This window comes from Homo sapiens, chromosome 6, assembly GCF_000001405.40.
Source record: "Homo sapiens chromosome 6, GRCh38.p14 Primary Assembly".
NCBI classification, from domain to species: domain Eukaryota; kingdom Metazoa; phylum Chordata; class Mammalia; order Primates; family Hominidae; genus Homo; species Homo sapiens.
The window spans coordinates 16,755,622-16,767,009 of NC_000006.12; the positions used below are offsets into that span (position 1 = coordinate 16,755,622).

At 43.9% G+C, this 11,388-nt stretch overlaps 1 protein-coding gene and 1 long non-coding RNA gene across 8 annotated transcripts in view, besides 8 other annotated features; one reads left to right on the forward strand and one right to left on the reverse strand.

Moving 5' to 3' along the window:
- The window catches only part of ATXN1 (ataxin 1), a 462,349-nt gene extending 456,510 nt beyond the window's left edge, over positions 1 to 5,839 (reverse strand). For 5 of the 7 annotated variants that reach the window (NR_152112.3, NR_152111.3, NM_001128164.2 and 2 more), the window contains exon 1: positions 5,677 to 5,839. The gene's annotated coding sequence lies outside the window, so the exon portion shown is untranslated. Of the gene's footprint in view, positions 1 to 4,435; positions 4,564 to 5,676 lie in introns of those variants that run through there. The other 2 variants (NR_152113.3, NR_152114.3) reach the window with 1 other exon arrangement.
- Positions 4,247 to 4,606: a silencer, noted in NCBI's record as "silent region_16959". NCBI's record gives its function as "represses an Ori minimal core promoter by ATAC-STARR-seq in GM12878 lymphoblastoid cells {active_cell/tissue: GM12878}" and the evidence as "EXISTENCE:reporter gene assay evidence [ECO:0000049][PMID:35858748]".
- Positions 4,617 to 5,096: a silencer, noted in NCBI's record as "silent region_16960". NCBI's record gives its function as "represses an Ori minimal core promoter by ATAC-STARR-seq in GM12878 lymphoblastoid cells {active_cell/tissue: GM12878}" and the evidence as "EXISTENCE:reporter gene assay evidence [ECO:0000049][PMID:35858748]".
- Positions 5,167 to 5,296: a silencer, noted in NCBI's record as "silent region_16961". NCBI's record gives its function as "represses an Ori minimal core promoter by ATAC-STARR-seq in GM12878 lymphoblastoid cells {active_cell/tissue: GM12878}" and the evidence as "EXISTENCE:reporter gene assay evidence [ECO:0000049][PMID:35858748]".
- ATXN1-AS1 (ATXN1 antisense RNA 1) lies at positions 5,517 to 11,262 on the forward strand. Its single transcript, NR_136240.1, has 3 exons — positions 5,517 to 5,545; positions 6,498 to 6,658; positions 6,731 to 11,262. It is a non-coding gene; the product is annotated as an ATXN1 antisense RNA 1 (long non-coding RNA).
- Positions 5,773 to 5,932: a silencer, noted in NCBI's record as "silent region_16962". NCBI's record gives its function as "represses an Ori minimal core promoter by ATAC-STARR-seq in GM12878 lymphoblastoid cells {active_cell/tissue: GM12878}" and the evidence as "EXISTENCE:reporter gene assay evidence [ECO:0000049][PMID:35858748]".
- Positions 5,940 to 6,155: a silencer, noted in NCBI's record as "fragment chr6:16761792-16762007 (GRCh37/hg19 assembly coordinates)". NCBI's record gives its function as "represses an EF-1alpha promoter that drives an FKBP-Casp9 reporter gene in an ReSE screen in K562 erythroleukemia cells {active_cell/tissue: K562}" and the evidence as "EXISTENCE:reporter gene assay evidence [ECO:0000049][PMID:32094911]".
- Positions 5,940 to 6,292: a biological region, named in NCBI's record as "ReSE screen-validated silencer GRCh37_chr6:16761792-16762007".
- Positions 5,973 to 6,292: a silencer, noted in NCBI's record as "silent region_16963". NCBI's record gives its function as "represses an Ori minimal core promoter by ATAC-STARR-seq in GM12878 lymphoblastoid cells {active_cell/tissue: GM12878}" and the evidence as "EXISTENCE:reporter gene assay evidence [ECO:0000049][PMID:35858748]".
- Positions 6,293 to 7,492: an enhancer, noted in NCBI's record as "BRD4-independent group 4 enhancer chr6:16762145-16763344 (GRCh37/hg19 assembly coordinates)". NCBI's record gives its function as "activates an origin of replication core promoter dependent on BRD2, P300/CBP, MED14 and CDK7 cofactors, and independent of BRD4, by STARR-seq in HCT116 cells {active_cell/tissue: HCT116}" and the evidence as "EXISTENCE:reporter gene assay evidence [ECO:0000049][PMID:35650434]".
- Positions 11,263 to 11,388: the final 126 nt, after the last annotated feature.

Genomic DNA, 11,388 nt, shown 5'->3' on the forward strand with positions numbered 1-11,388 from the left:
GATAGATGCTATAGGTTAGTAGCTACAATAACTGTCACGAAAAACTTCTGCTACCTAACTCATTCAAAACTTGTCATGTTAAAGGGCACCTAAGTGTAAAAAAAAAAAAAAAGAGTTCCTCTTAGCCCAAATCAAAACATCACAATCGGGGAAACCTCTGCCCTCTTGAGTCTCAAATTCTGAGTACACTACCATGAATTTTCTGGAAAGTAATTTTCAGGTAGGATACAATTTTTGCTTACATTGTGGCAATTATCATTACATTTTCATTACTCCACAAATGGGATGCATTAAAAGTTACAGAAAAATCAATGAAACATTTCTGCTAACATGAAATATGTCAAACAAAATATAATGCTTGTTGCTTTTTTGTCCATAATTGTTCTCTCTAAACGTGTTTTGGTACATTTGGGATGGTAGTAATGCGTAATACAAATATTTATAGTACATTAGCCTGAAAGTTCAAATTATGAGCGTTATAAAATATATTACTACACTAATAAAGACAAATATCCATAAATATAATTATAAAAGAATAAAATAAAAAACTTTCCATAAGATTTGTCTAAAACCATTCTTTTTATTACTTCTGTAATTTTAAGCATTTATATATTTTTAAAAATCTCAATGTAATTACCGTTCTTTCAGCCAACATTTAAAAAATTCTGTAAAACTGACACTGTATATCACTTCTTAAAAAAATTTTGAATGAGTACATTTATTTTATTAAACTAAATTACATGAAAATAAAATGTGAACATAATTGATGACTTAAAATTCTTATCTTAGAAAAGGAAGTTCTATATGTAAGGTCCTAAAACAGAAATTATTATTTCTATTACCATTTCTACAATGTATTGCTTTCAATGCTTTTATCAAAATAAGGAGGGCCTGCTTCTGATAACCTTGGAAGTATGACCAGAACTAAATCTGTTATTTGAAGCAATTAAGCTGCACAGATCTAAATCTCTCACAGAAACTAATCATTCGAACTATTGAATTACTCTGAAAATACAGAGCAAGGAAAGTCAAATAATCTATCTCTCCCCTAAAAATAATAGCCTGTCTTACTTCACTATTGTCACTTTACCGATGCAAGTATTTAAGCTGTTCAGATCCTAATCTATGTGTTATTTTCAGATAACTACAGTTTAAAGAATTAACATTCACTCCCACATTTACCTACTTACGTGAGTTTCAGAATTTTAGTAAAATATGTTTATTGCTTAACTTTTAATAGGAAACAAAATGAGTGTTAGTGTTAGTCATCAGAAACTGTCACTCAAGGTATGTGCAAAAAAGTAAAATCCACTTGACATTTCAGAATGAAAAACAATAAAGGCACAACATTATTCAAAGAAATGTGCGTCCTTGGACTCCATAATGACAACAAAAACAGGAGTCATAGTAATGTTTACTAATATTTCAATAATCTCAGCACTGGCCTTTCCCAGGACTCCTAGGCAACTGACTTAGGTATGTTGAAACTTACAGGCATTTGACATGTAATCTTGTGGCTAAAGAGTTTCTGTTTAATCTTCCTCTAAGTGTAAAAGACAATTCAGAAGTCCTGAAGTCTAGTCGTAACATTTTTGACAAAGTGTCACTTCTGTTTACCAAACCCTCTTAAAACGAAATCCGCAAGGAAAAATATTGCCTTTGGCGGTTCCCACCAGGTACATTTTTTTATACTTATTTTCACATGAATTTATTTGTGCACTGAAAAATATATGTTCACATTTTACTGCAAGTAAAGCATTTTTCTATATGTTGCAAAATAGAATCCAGGACCTCCAAGGCATTGTGTAATATTGACATCCTTGCTTCCCATCTATTTACCACCTTATAAAAGTTGAGTAGCTAGAAGAAATAATAGCTCATTTTAACTACAGCAGTGCTTCATCTGACCAGGCCACAATGAATTTACCAACCACATAAACTCACAAAACGGTAAAAACTCATAAACCCCCTGGGAATAGAGTTGAGTAGCTCTCTCAATCCTAGCCCTGGGGGAAAAAATTTACCAGTTTAGCTTTGTTGGCCATAAAATTGTAAACTGACTGGCAGTCACAACTAAATCAAGACATAATTCTCAATTATCTTTTCTTTCAAATACCAGGGTTATGAAAATACTCCCCCCCGCCCGCCCCCTGCCCCACTTAGTTGGATTGCCTGAGCAGCACAGAGCTTCAGCAACTAAAGCAACTTTTCCTTTTTTCCTTTTTGCCATAATATTATTTCTCTTTGCTTAGCCAGCTTTATCAGTGGTGCCCTAATGCAAAGACTAGAATACTGCTTTCTAACTGCTCACTAAATTACATCCTAAAATAAAGTACATGTTTATTGTCCAAAAGCACCATGCACTATCAGTCCTCTAGCTATAGGCCTCTATCGTTTCTCGCTTAGCTAAGGAAAAAAAAATCCTTTTAACTTACTACCAAAGATCATTCAAATCACAGCCAATAGATCCAAATTAAGAATGAATACATTCAGAATGTCTGCCTACTGTCAGTACCAGTTTTTGTTATGATGGCTGTCAAGTTTTAAAATGTGACAATGGGAATATATTTTCCGAATAAGTTATTCCCCTGAGTAAACCCTTTAGAAATCCAGCCATCGCTATGGGCAATGGAGGTTCCAAATGATGAACGCTCTTCACACTTGAAAGGGTTAAGTGACTGACTGCAAGGCCAAAGGCACCAGACTGCAAAAGAAATGTTGCTTTAGTGAGCTCTGAAAGGTTTCTAACAAGTACCAAATACTTGTTGATCTGTTCACAATAAACACCAGCAGGATTGTCAGGCTCCTTTCACTGTCTGGGGAGATGCATTTACATACTGCACCTAGGAAGAACAGCTTGTTGGTCTCCTTTATAAAAGTTGAGTAGCTAGAAGCCTCATTCAGTGTCTCCCATCCAAATGACTGAAAGAAGATGCAATTGAAATAGTGGAGTCTCTCGTCTGGCTTGGGCAGCATAAATGCTGTGCATAAAACACTTGGAGTAGTTCAGGCACAAGACAAACCCACCTGAATGGACGAGGAACACTGTCTGTTGCCATGGCAGCCTGATCTAATTACATGAGTGATCAGGACTGGAGTAAGTGCACCGAAAACCTACACCACTGACAGGCAGCCAGGAGGTTCAGGGGAGCCCTTCAACCTCTGCTTTATGTAGAAGATGGCATTCAAGTCCATTTATTTGCGGAGCTGCTAAAATATTGACTGATGCATGCACAGTGAGAGGGCAATCAGAGGAGATTAAATGCCACAGCGCTAGCCGTTATGGTGCAATCCCTTTCCAAGAGTTCCTGTGCAGGATTTTCTCTTCTCTCTGGTGGTTTCCTCAGACATAAGCTTCACTCCAAAAAAAGCTCAAGTATCAAACTACCTTTACCCATCAAATAAACCGAAGGGTGGGCTTAAGGGGGGCTTCTAGGAACTGCAGCCTCCTAAAAAACCCAAACAGAAATGTCTCAGCTAACACTGTTGAAAAAGTAACTAGCTGTGCCTAAAAATAACCAAGTAACTACCCACTGCTGTGTGCAATATATAACAATGATGTTTAAATATTAAAAACAGCCTGCATTATAAAACACAAATGTCATTGAGATGTGACTACTAGATTGCCAAAGGAGAACTTATTTGCATACACACATTCCCGTGCATGCACGACAGGATGTGCAGGGAGAAAGCCACTGTAAGGCATTAGTTTTTATTCTGTGGGTGTAATAGGGTCTTCTAATTTTGCTAATTGTATCCTGTGGATCTCGCAGGGAAGCTAAGAATCTCTTCGGGGACAGAACCAGTTTGGAGGAGTCCCTACTGCACAGCATACGGTAAACAAAATAAAAATAGCTTGCCTTTCTTGTTAGCCACATCGCGCATTATATAACCAGCTTCTTCCGACTGTTTTTTTTTTTTTTTTTTTTTTTTTTTTGCCCTTACTACTCTTCAGCAATTTCCCTCTTCTCAAATATTTATATTACCCTTTTATCTGTAGGATTATATACCAAGAAAGCAAAACAAAACAGAGCAGCCACGGGCTCGAACCGAATCCCCGCCGTCCTTAGAAACGGATTTTTTTTTGTTTTGTTTTGTTTTCTGGCAGAGTCTCGATCACCACCCTACTTCCACCCCCACTAAGGTTCTTGCTCAATCTCCCTAGAAAACCTGAATTGTTTCATCCCTTTCAGTCAGCCCCCTACGTGGTCTGAAACAAAATGAAAGCACAAGCCACGGAGTTTAAGAAGGCAGCCTGAAGGCGGGGGGCTGAAGAGGGGTCGGGGCGCTGCAGAGTCAGCCAAGTAGCCAAGGAAGGGCCCCCTCCGCGTCGCGACGGCCCTCGCCCCCCGCCCGGCGCGCGCGCGCACAAATACACACACACAGTCACTCACACACTCACTCACACTCACGCCGCGCTCCGACACCGCCTCACCTCTCGCTCCGCCCGTCCGGCCCCCTTCCCTGCCCCCTGCGGGACCGGCCTGCGCGCAGCACTGGAACCACGTAGGAGGAGGCGGCGGCGCCCCCGGGAGTGGCAGAGTCTCCGGCCCGGCCCAGAGTGAACGAGCAGTGGGGCTCCAGGGCGCATCCCAATCCCCGCAGCGCCTCCTCCGCGGCGGCCGCCGCCTCCTCCTCCTTCCCCTCCTCCTGGCTTCATTCACCCTCCCAGCAGCCGCGCAGCCGTTCACTCCCGGCTCAGGGCAGCGCCTGCCGCGGCTCCTCGTCTCCTGCCGCGGGTGCTGGCGGGGGCGCCGGCCCGGACTGGGGCGCTCGCGGGCTCCCGGCTCCGGGCGGCGGCTGCCGCTGCACATGATCAGGAAGCGGCCGCACCAACAGGGCGGCGGTGGCGGCGGCGGCCAGGGCCGTCACCGCCACTCCAGCCGCGCTCCAGGCACCCGCACACCCGCTACCCCCGCGCGGTCCCCGAGGCCACCCCTCTGCGCCCCCCGCCCGGCACCCGGCCGCGCGCAAAGTCCCGTCCCGGCTGCAGGAGCAGTCCCTTCCCCGCCCGCAGCCGCACACCCGGCGAGGCCGGCCCTCCGAGGGGAGACCCCCGCCCCAGGGCGCCGAGGCCGGGCGACCACCCGCGGAGAAGTCCAGCCCTCCGTGAGACCCCCTCTCTCTCACCGCCCTCTCCGGGGAGGAGGAATGGGAAGAGGGCGGCCGGGAAAGGGACCACCCCCCAACCCCAGCCGCCGCCTCCCCCCTGCGCCACCCGGAGGGAGGAGGACATGGCTCTCCGCACTTGCGACCGGACCAGCAGCCGGGGGAGCGGGGCGCCGCCGCCGCTCTCCCCGCCCGCGCCCCCCGCCCGGGCGCGCCCCCTAGCCCGGCGGGCGCCCACCCAGCCCCTGACAGCCCCCCCGCCGGCCGCCCCTGCGCCCAGAGTGGGGGTGTCGGCCCGGGAGCCTGGAGCCGGGGACGGTTGTATGTACACACATACACACACACACACACACACACGCACACACACAGAACACGACGCGTCGATTTCCTTCGCTCCTCTTCCAGCTGTTTTCCGTGCAGCCGATTGGGGTTTTGGGTTTGTTTGCTGGTTGTTGCTTTTGCCCCTCTCGGGAGATCGGGGGAGGAGGGATTTTAATCTAAATAAGGGGAGAAGGGAATGGGGGAGGGGGGAAAGAATCGGAGGAGGAAAAAAAAATAGTCACTTACTGTAAAGTGTAAATGGATCTGGGGTTGCGTGGGGAAGGGGGGGCAGAGGGAGAGAAACAATGTCTTGCGGCTGCTGTTGCTCTGGCTGCTGCTCCACGGGGCTTGTTTTGGATCCCCCTGCAGTGAAACAGGTCCTGTACGGCTCCGCCACTGTAGTAGAAATGATGTCTGCGGTATACTCTGCTCTCTCCTCCTCCTCCTCCTCCTCCTCCTCCCCCTCCTCCCGCTCCCCTCCCCTCCCTCCTCCCTCCGCCCGCCCGCCCTCCCTCCCTCCCTCGCGCTCTCTCGCGCTCGCTCGCTCGCTCGCTCCAGTATGTAAATGTGTAATAGAAGCCAAATATGGAGCAGTTGGCTGCCGCCGCCGCAGCTCAAGGATCCGACTTCATGGGGGTGGGGGGCACCCTCTGGCGGGCGGCCCGGCGAGCCGCACAGAGCACGGCGAGCGCACCGCGCGGCGGCCGGCCCGCGCCCTTAACCCTTCGCTGCGCGCCGCCCGGGGAGGCGGGCACCTTTCCCAAAGAGTGGCTCGGGATGGGGTGCGGGGGAGGGGAGACGCGGACCGGAGGGCAAGGTTCCTTCCAGGTTTGGGAAGGGGGCGGGGAGCTGGGCGATGAGGTAATTTGAGCGGTGACGGGTCGGTCCTCGCGCGCCTCCCTGGGTCCCTGCACCTAGTTGGAGGGGACTGAACGACAACGGGGCGCTACTCAGGCAACCTGGGGGACTCCCCCAAGGGCTGTCAGGCTTCAGCTGGGAGCCGATGCAACACCCCAGCGGGGAGGGGAGGTCGGCCCATTCTAATCCCGACGTGTCCTTGGTCCCAGGCGCTCGGAGCAGCATCTGAGAGGGCTCACTCTGATCATCAGCTGCACGTTAAGCCACAAACCGGCGTCGCTTCGGCGTTCCGGAACCCAGGCCTGGGGGCCGCGGGGATTGCCTCTGCGTGCAACTCCGGAAAGTTTCAAGGGGTCCCCCGACTGCACAGGTACCCTCACCTTTCCTGCCGGCGAACGCTGGCGACCGCCCGACCCTGCCCTCTTTCTCTCTTCGCACGCAGGTCCGGAAATCGGCTTTGATATGGAACTACTCCGCTCTAGCCTGGAAAGGAGACCCGCGCACTCCTCTCGCAGCTAATTTCGGATCATTAATTTAATCGGAAATGAGGTAACCAGTGTAGGAGACAGAGAAAGCAACCGGAGCATCAAATGGCAGTTCTCGAGAATCGACGAGGAACTTAAATCTGGACTCAGGGTTTCAGTGCGGTCTCCGACTCCCACCACCCCGCCCCTCCGCCTGTCTCGCCGCCAGGTGTGACCTCCACGCGAAGGAATCTTCTTCGGATGGGTGCACCTTGCCAACAGGTGTGGCACCTGGAGGACTAGGAGGCGCCTCCAGACTAAGGGCGCTCAGTGCGGCGTTCTTGTTGCAGATGATTCTGGAAGGCCGGTAGGTGTCGGGCGACATTTGACCTTCTTCAGGTGCTTAGAACTAAGTGTCTGGAAACATGATCCTTTCGCGTAAGTTTCTTTCTGAAAGCCACCAATCTTGACTGTAAGCTGTATTTGAGAGATCTTTTGGCTGAGTTTACTTATGACCTAACGGTTAGTCACCAACTGAGGCAGGGCACAGGATGACCAAAAAAAAAGTGTCAGTTTTTACACAACTCTGGCCTGCAAGAGCCTACGTGCTTCATAAATAAAAATAAACATACGAGCGAGGAAGGTGCAGAGCCCCGGAAATATTTTTTTCTCACATTTTTGAAATACCATGCACATATATGTGGCTATTTAAGTATAACTACTAGTGTTCACTCTTACTCATTTCTACAACTTTTTTTTTTCCATTTAAAAATCGATTATTGTTACGGTTTAAACCTCGGGTTGGTCTAAAGTGACATTGTTGGTCTCATTACAGCCTCTAGTGGACAGTTAACATCAGTTTCCTGAAAAGGCTCTGACTGGTTTTGTTTTCGTTGACAAGCTTTGTCAAGGTGAAGGTTAGTACGTAAGAGCATAACCGGGTAAAATGTCCCCTCACCCCTATCCTCACCCCCGCCCCCAACACCCTGCTTGGCAAAGACGACTTCAGAAAGGAGCAGAAGCTTGTTGGCTTTATATAGAAAAGACGTATGCTTTGTGCTGCAGGTATTATTATTACTGGACTGTGAATAAACAGAAAGCTTCTGCTATTCATTTCAGTTTCAGACAGCTTTCATAAAAACTAAATTCATCTCAAATATTTTTATAACAGAAAATATTGGTTGCCATGTTTTTGGCTTAACTGCGATGTTTTTATTCCAACTCATAATCTGCAAACTGTCCAATCCACCTCCACTCTATTTTTAGACATCTTACATTTAGATAATTTTCAGTTAAAAAAAAGCTAATATTGTAATTTTACGTTGGCACAAGCAGTTAATTTACGTGATTTTAACAACCTTAAATTAAAACACATAATTCAGATTACAGTTAGTCAATTAATTTAAATGTTCTCTCAAGGAAGCTAAATATGTATATTACCCAAATGGTAAAAACAATTAATAAGAAATGTGTCATTTACTTTCTTAGCCATTAAGTTTAAAGCCATAAACTGCCACCAAAATCTGTAACTATTTCTTCCTGCAAGATCCAACATAAACACCATACTCATGAAACTGTCTCATTACCTTTAGTACTGAAATATTTTGTTTTCAGATGGCAAAATATTAAGTGTACAATCACAAATAACAGGCACTGATTCTTTAGAAACAAGACTTTCTCGTGCAAATAAAAACTCAATGAAAAAGGGCAGAGCTTCCAAGAAGCTAGTAGACAAATATATAGTACTATAGTCCTACTCATAAGGCTGGTGTTATGTTTGTAAAAGCATAAGTCAACCTTTGAAATTACAGGAAATCGATAAATAAGGCCTGATGAGCTTGACTCGTATCCTGTGTCATAGATTGCTTAAATACCATGAAAAATAATTGTAATCACATATCTATTTTACTGTTTTGGTGGTATCTACTCTTGAAGGTGTTAAATGGGCCAGCAAGTATATATTATATAATTACATATTACACCCTTACTTAAAGTGTAGTTTTCAAAGTCGCCACAGCAGCACTTGGGAGCTTTTTAGACATTCAGAGTCAAGGGTTCTACCCCAGACATACCAAATCAGAATCTGCCTTTGAACCAGGCCCCTGGGTGATTTCTAAACACATTATCATGTGAAGAACACTGGTCTATACCACAGGGATCAACCTAAATAAATTTGGGCACAAGTGCAGAAGTTAATTCCTCTATTTATTTCTTTTTTGCTCCTTTTTAGTAAGTACAGCCCTTATTAATTTGTGCTTTTCAATGAAAAATTATTATGTTATATGCTTTGGATAAATACTACTGCACTGTAAGTGCACACATCTGCATCATTATTGCCAAAAAAGAATGCTCTGCTGAGGAATGTACTGGGGTCTTGAACATGAACATTTTCTTCATGGCAGCAGAGGGAGCACAAGAGTGCTTAATAAAACCAGTGCACAGGTCTCTCCAAATCATGACAGATTTTACATTGTAGTATATGTTTTCATTGGAAGTAGCCTGTTATGTAGTTCAAAATGAAGCAAATCAACTGAGCAAACACAGATAGGCTTACCAGGTCATAACAACTATGTAACTGAACAGATTGAAAGTTGAATAAAATAAAGATAAACTTCTTTAGAGTTTTAGGCTTGAATTCTTAAAAGAAAGTGGACCTCAAAAGTGAAAAAGATGCCTTAGCTTTGCTCAAAAACAAAGATAACACAACACAGAATCAGGCAACCCTAAGATGCCTTAGCTTTACTCAAAAACAAAGATAACACAGAATCAGGCAACCCTAATAGTAGCTCCTGTTTATCTAAAAACAGAGTCAGTTCACTGGACCCTACATCAGGTAACTTAATTTCATTTGGTGTCATACATGTTGGTTAAGGTCCATGCGCCTTTTGCTGTGTTTACACTCAGAATAATTTTAGGGGTTTCTCCTTAATGCTTGCAGTGGTGAGGATTTAGGTTTCAGTTATACCTACGTAGTATTTCATACTTTTCACTACTCTTCCATATTGCATCCTCAAAAACTCCCTTGAAGCAGATAACATACTTGGTAAAAGCCAAGTATCCAAAAAGTTATGGAACCACATCGTGCTTTCATAACATTGAGTCATTTAATTGTTTCAGTAGTGCTTTGAGGTATTCATAAATGAGGGAAATTATACAGACTAAAGATCCAGAGCATTTTTTACAGTTTTAAAGGTTTTTCAAAGTTATTCTTAGATAATATGTTTATATATTTATTATTTATTTACAAGCAGTCACTTACTCTGCATCTACAATAACTAAGACTTGAGAATATAAAATTGAGTAAGACATCTTAGTGTGCAAGGAGATCAGAGCAGAACAGATCTTACCTTTGGAAAACTGTTAATTTTTACCACGTTGAAACACAAAGATTCATAGTTGATGCGATCCAGCACCTGCCAGAATCATAGCAATCAGACTTCCAAATATGAGAATCAAACATTAGAATCATTAAAAATTTGAGAGGCGGGGGGGACAGTTGTACAACTCTTGAGCAAAAGTTGACTTATAAGCTAATATTAATATTTCAAATTTGTACGACAAACAAATGTGAAGATATAATGTGTATTTTATTTGAATGTCTTCCCTATCACAAAATCACATGAGTAAGTTGAGTTGGTAAACATTTATTTATTTTTATCTTTTCTAAAATGCTGAAAAGAATTTTTCTCCCACACTAAAGAGGGTTTGCCAAGTTTCTGCCTGGAGCAATTTGTTATGGCTGTGTAATAAATCCCAGAAAGTTTGAATTTTTAATGGAAACACTGACAGAATAAAGAGGGTGTAATCCTACATATGTCATTTAAAAATCTGAGCAAACCATAGTGTGCTTGCAAAACAAATATACTTTCCTTAGATTGCACTCACAAATAAGGCTGGGGAGACCACAAAAGTAAAACAAACTCAAAAGTGAAAAACACTCACACAATAGACTCTGAGGTCAGCTCACCACACCCAGACTAAAGTCACTGGGCTCTGTGCGTGTCACCAAGACTCTTAAAAGACATACTTCTGAATCATCTTTCTTGACCCTCCACCAAACTGTAGCAAGACAGGCTTCCTGGGAATGAAAATGACATTAGCATTAGTCAAGAGTGAAATTAAAGTCATTGTACTCAAACATCTGCCAACAGTCTGTGATTTCATAGTACCCACCTCTGAAATAAGACTCTGTCTACAATTAAAAACAAAGAAAAAAAGGTACTTTAGGTCTTCACTATCCACTATGTCTACTGAGCACTTGAAATGTGTGATTAGTCCAAATTAACATGTGCTGTAAGTGTGAAATATTCCTCAGATTTTAAAAACTTGGTATAAAAAATACATATTTTACATATAATATATATTATTCATTATTCCTATATTATTAATTTTATGTATTATATATACACACATGTAATATCTCCATTTTTACATTGATTAAATGTTGAAAATATTGGGTTATTTTTTAATAGTGTACATTGGGTTAAATAAAATATATTATTAAACTTCATTTTACCTGTTTCTTTTTACTTTTTTTTTTGAGACAGGGTCTAGGTCTGTCACCCAGGCTGCAGTGCAGTGCAGTAGTGCAGTCTCTGCTCACTGCAACCTCCACCTCCTGGGCTCAAGTGATCCT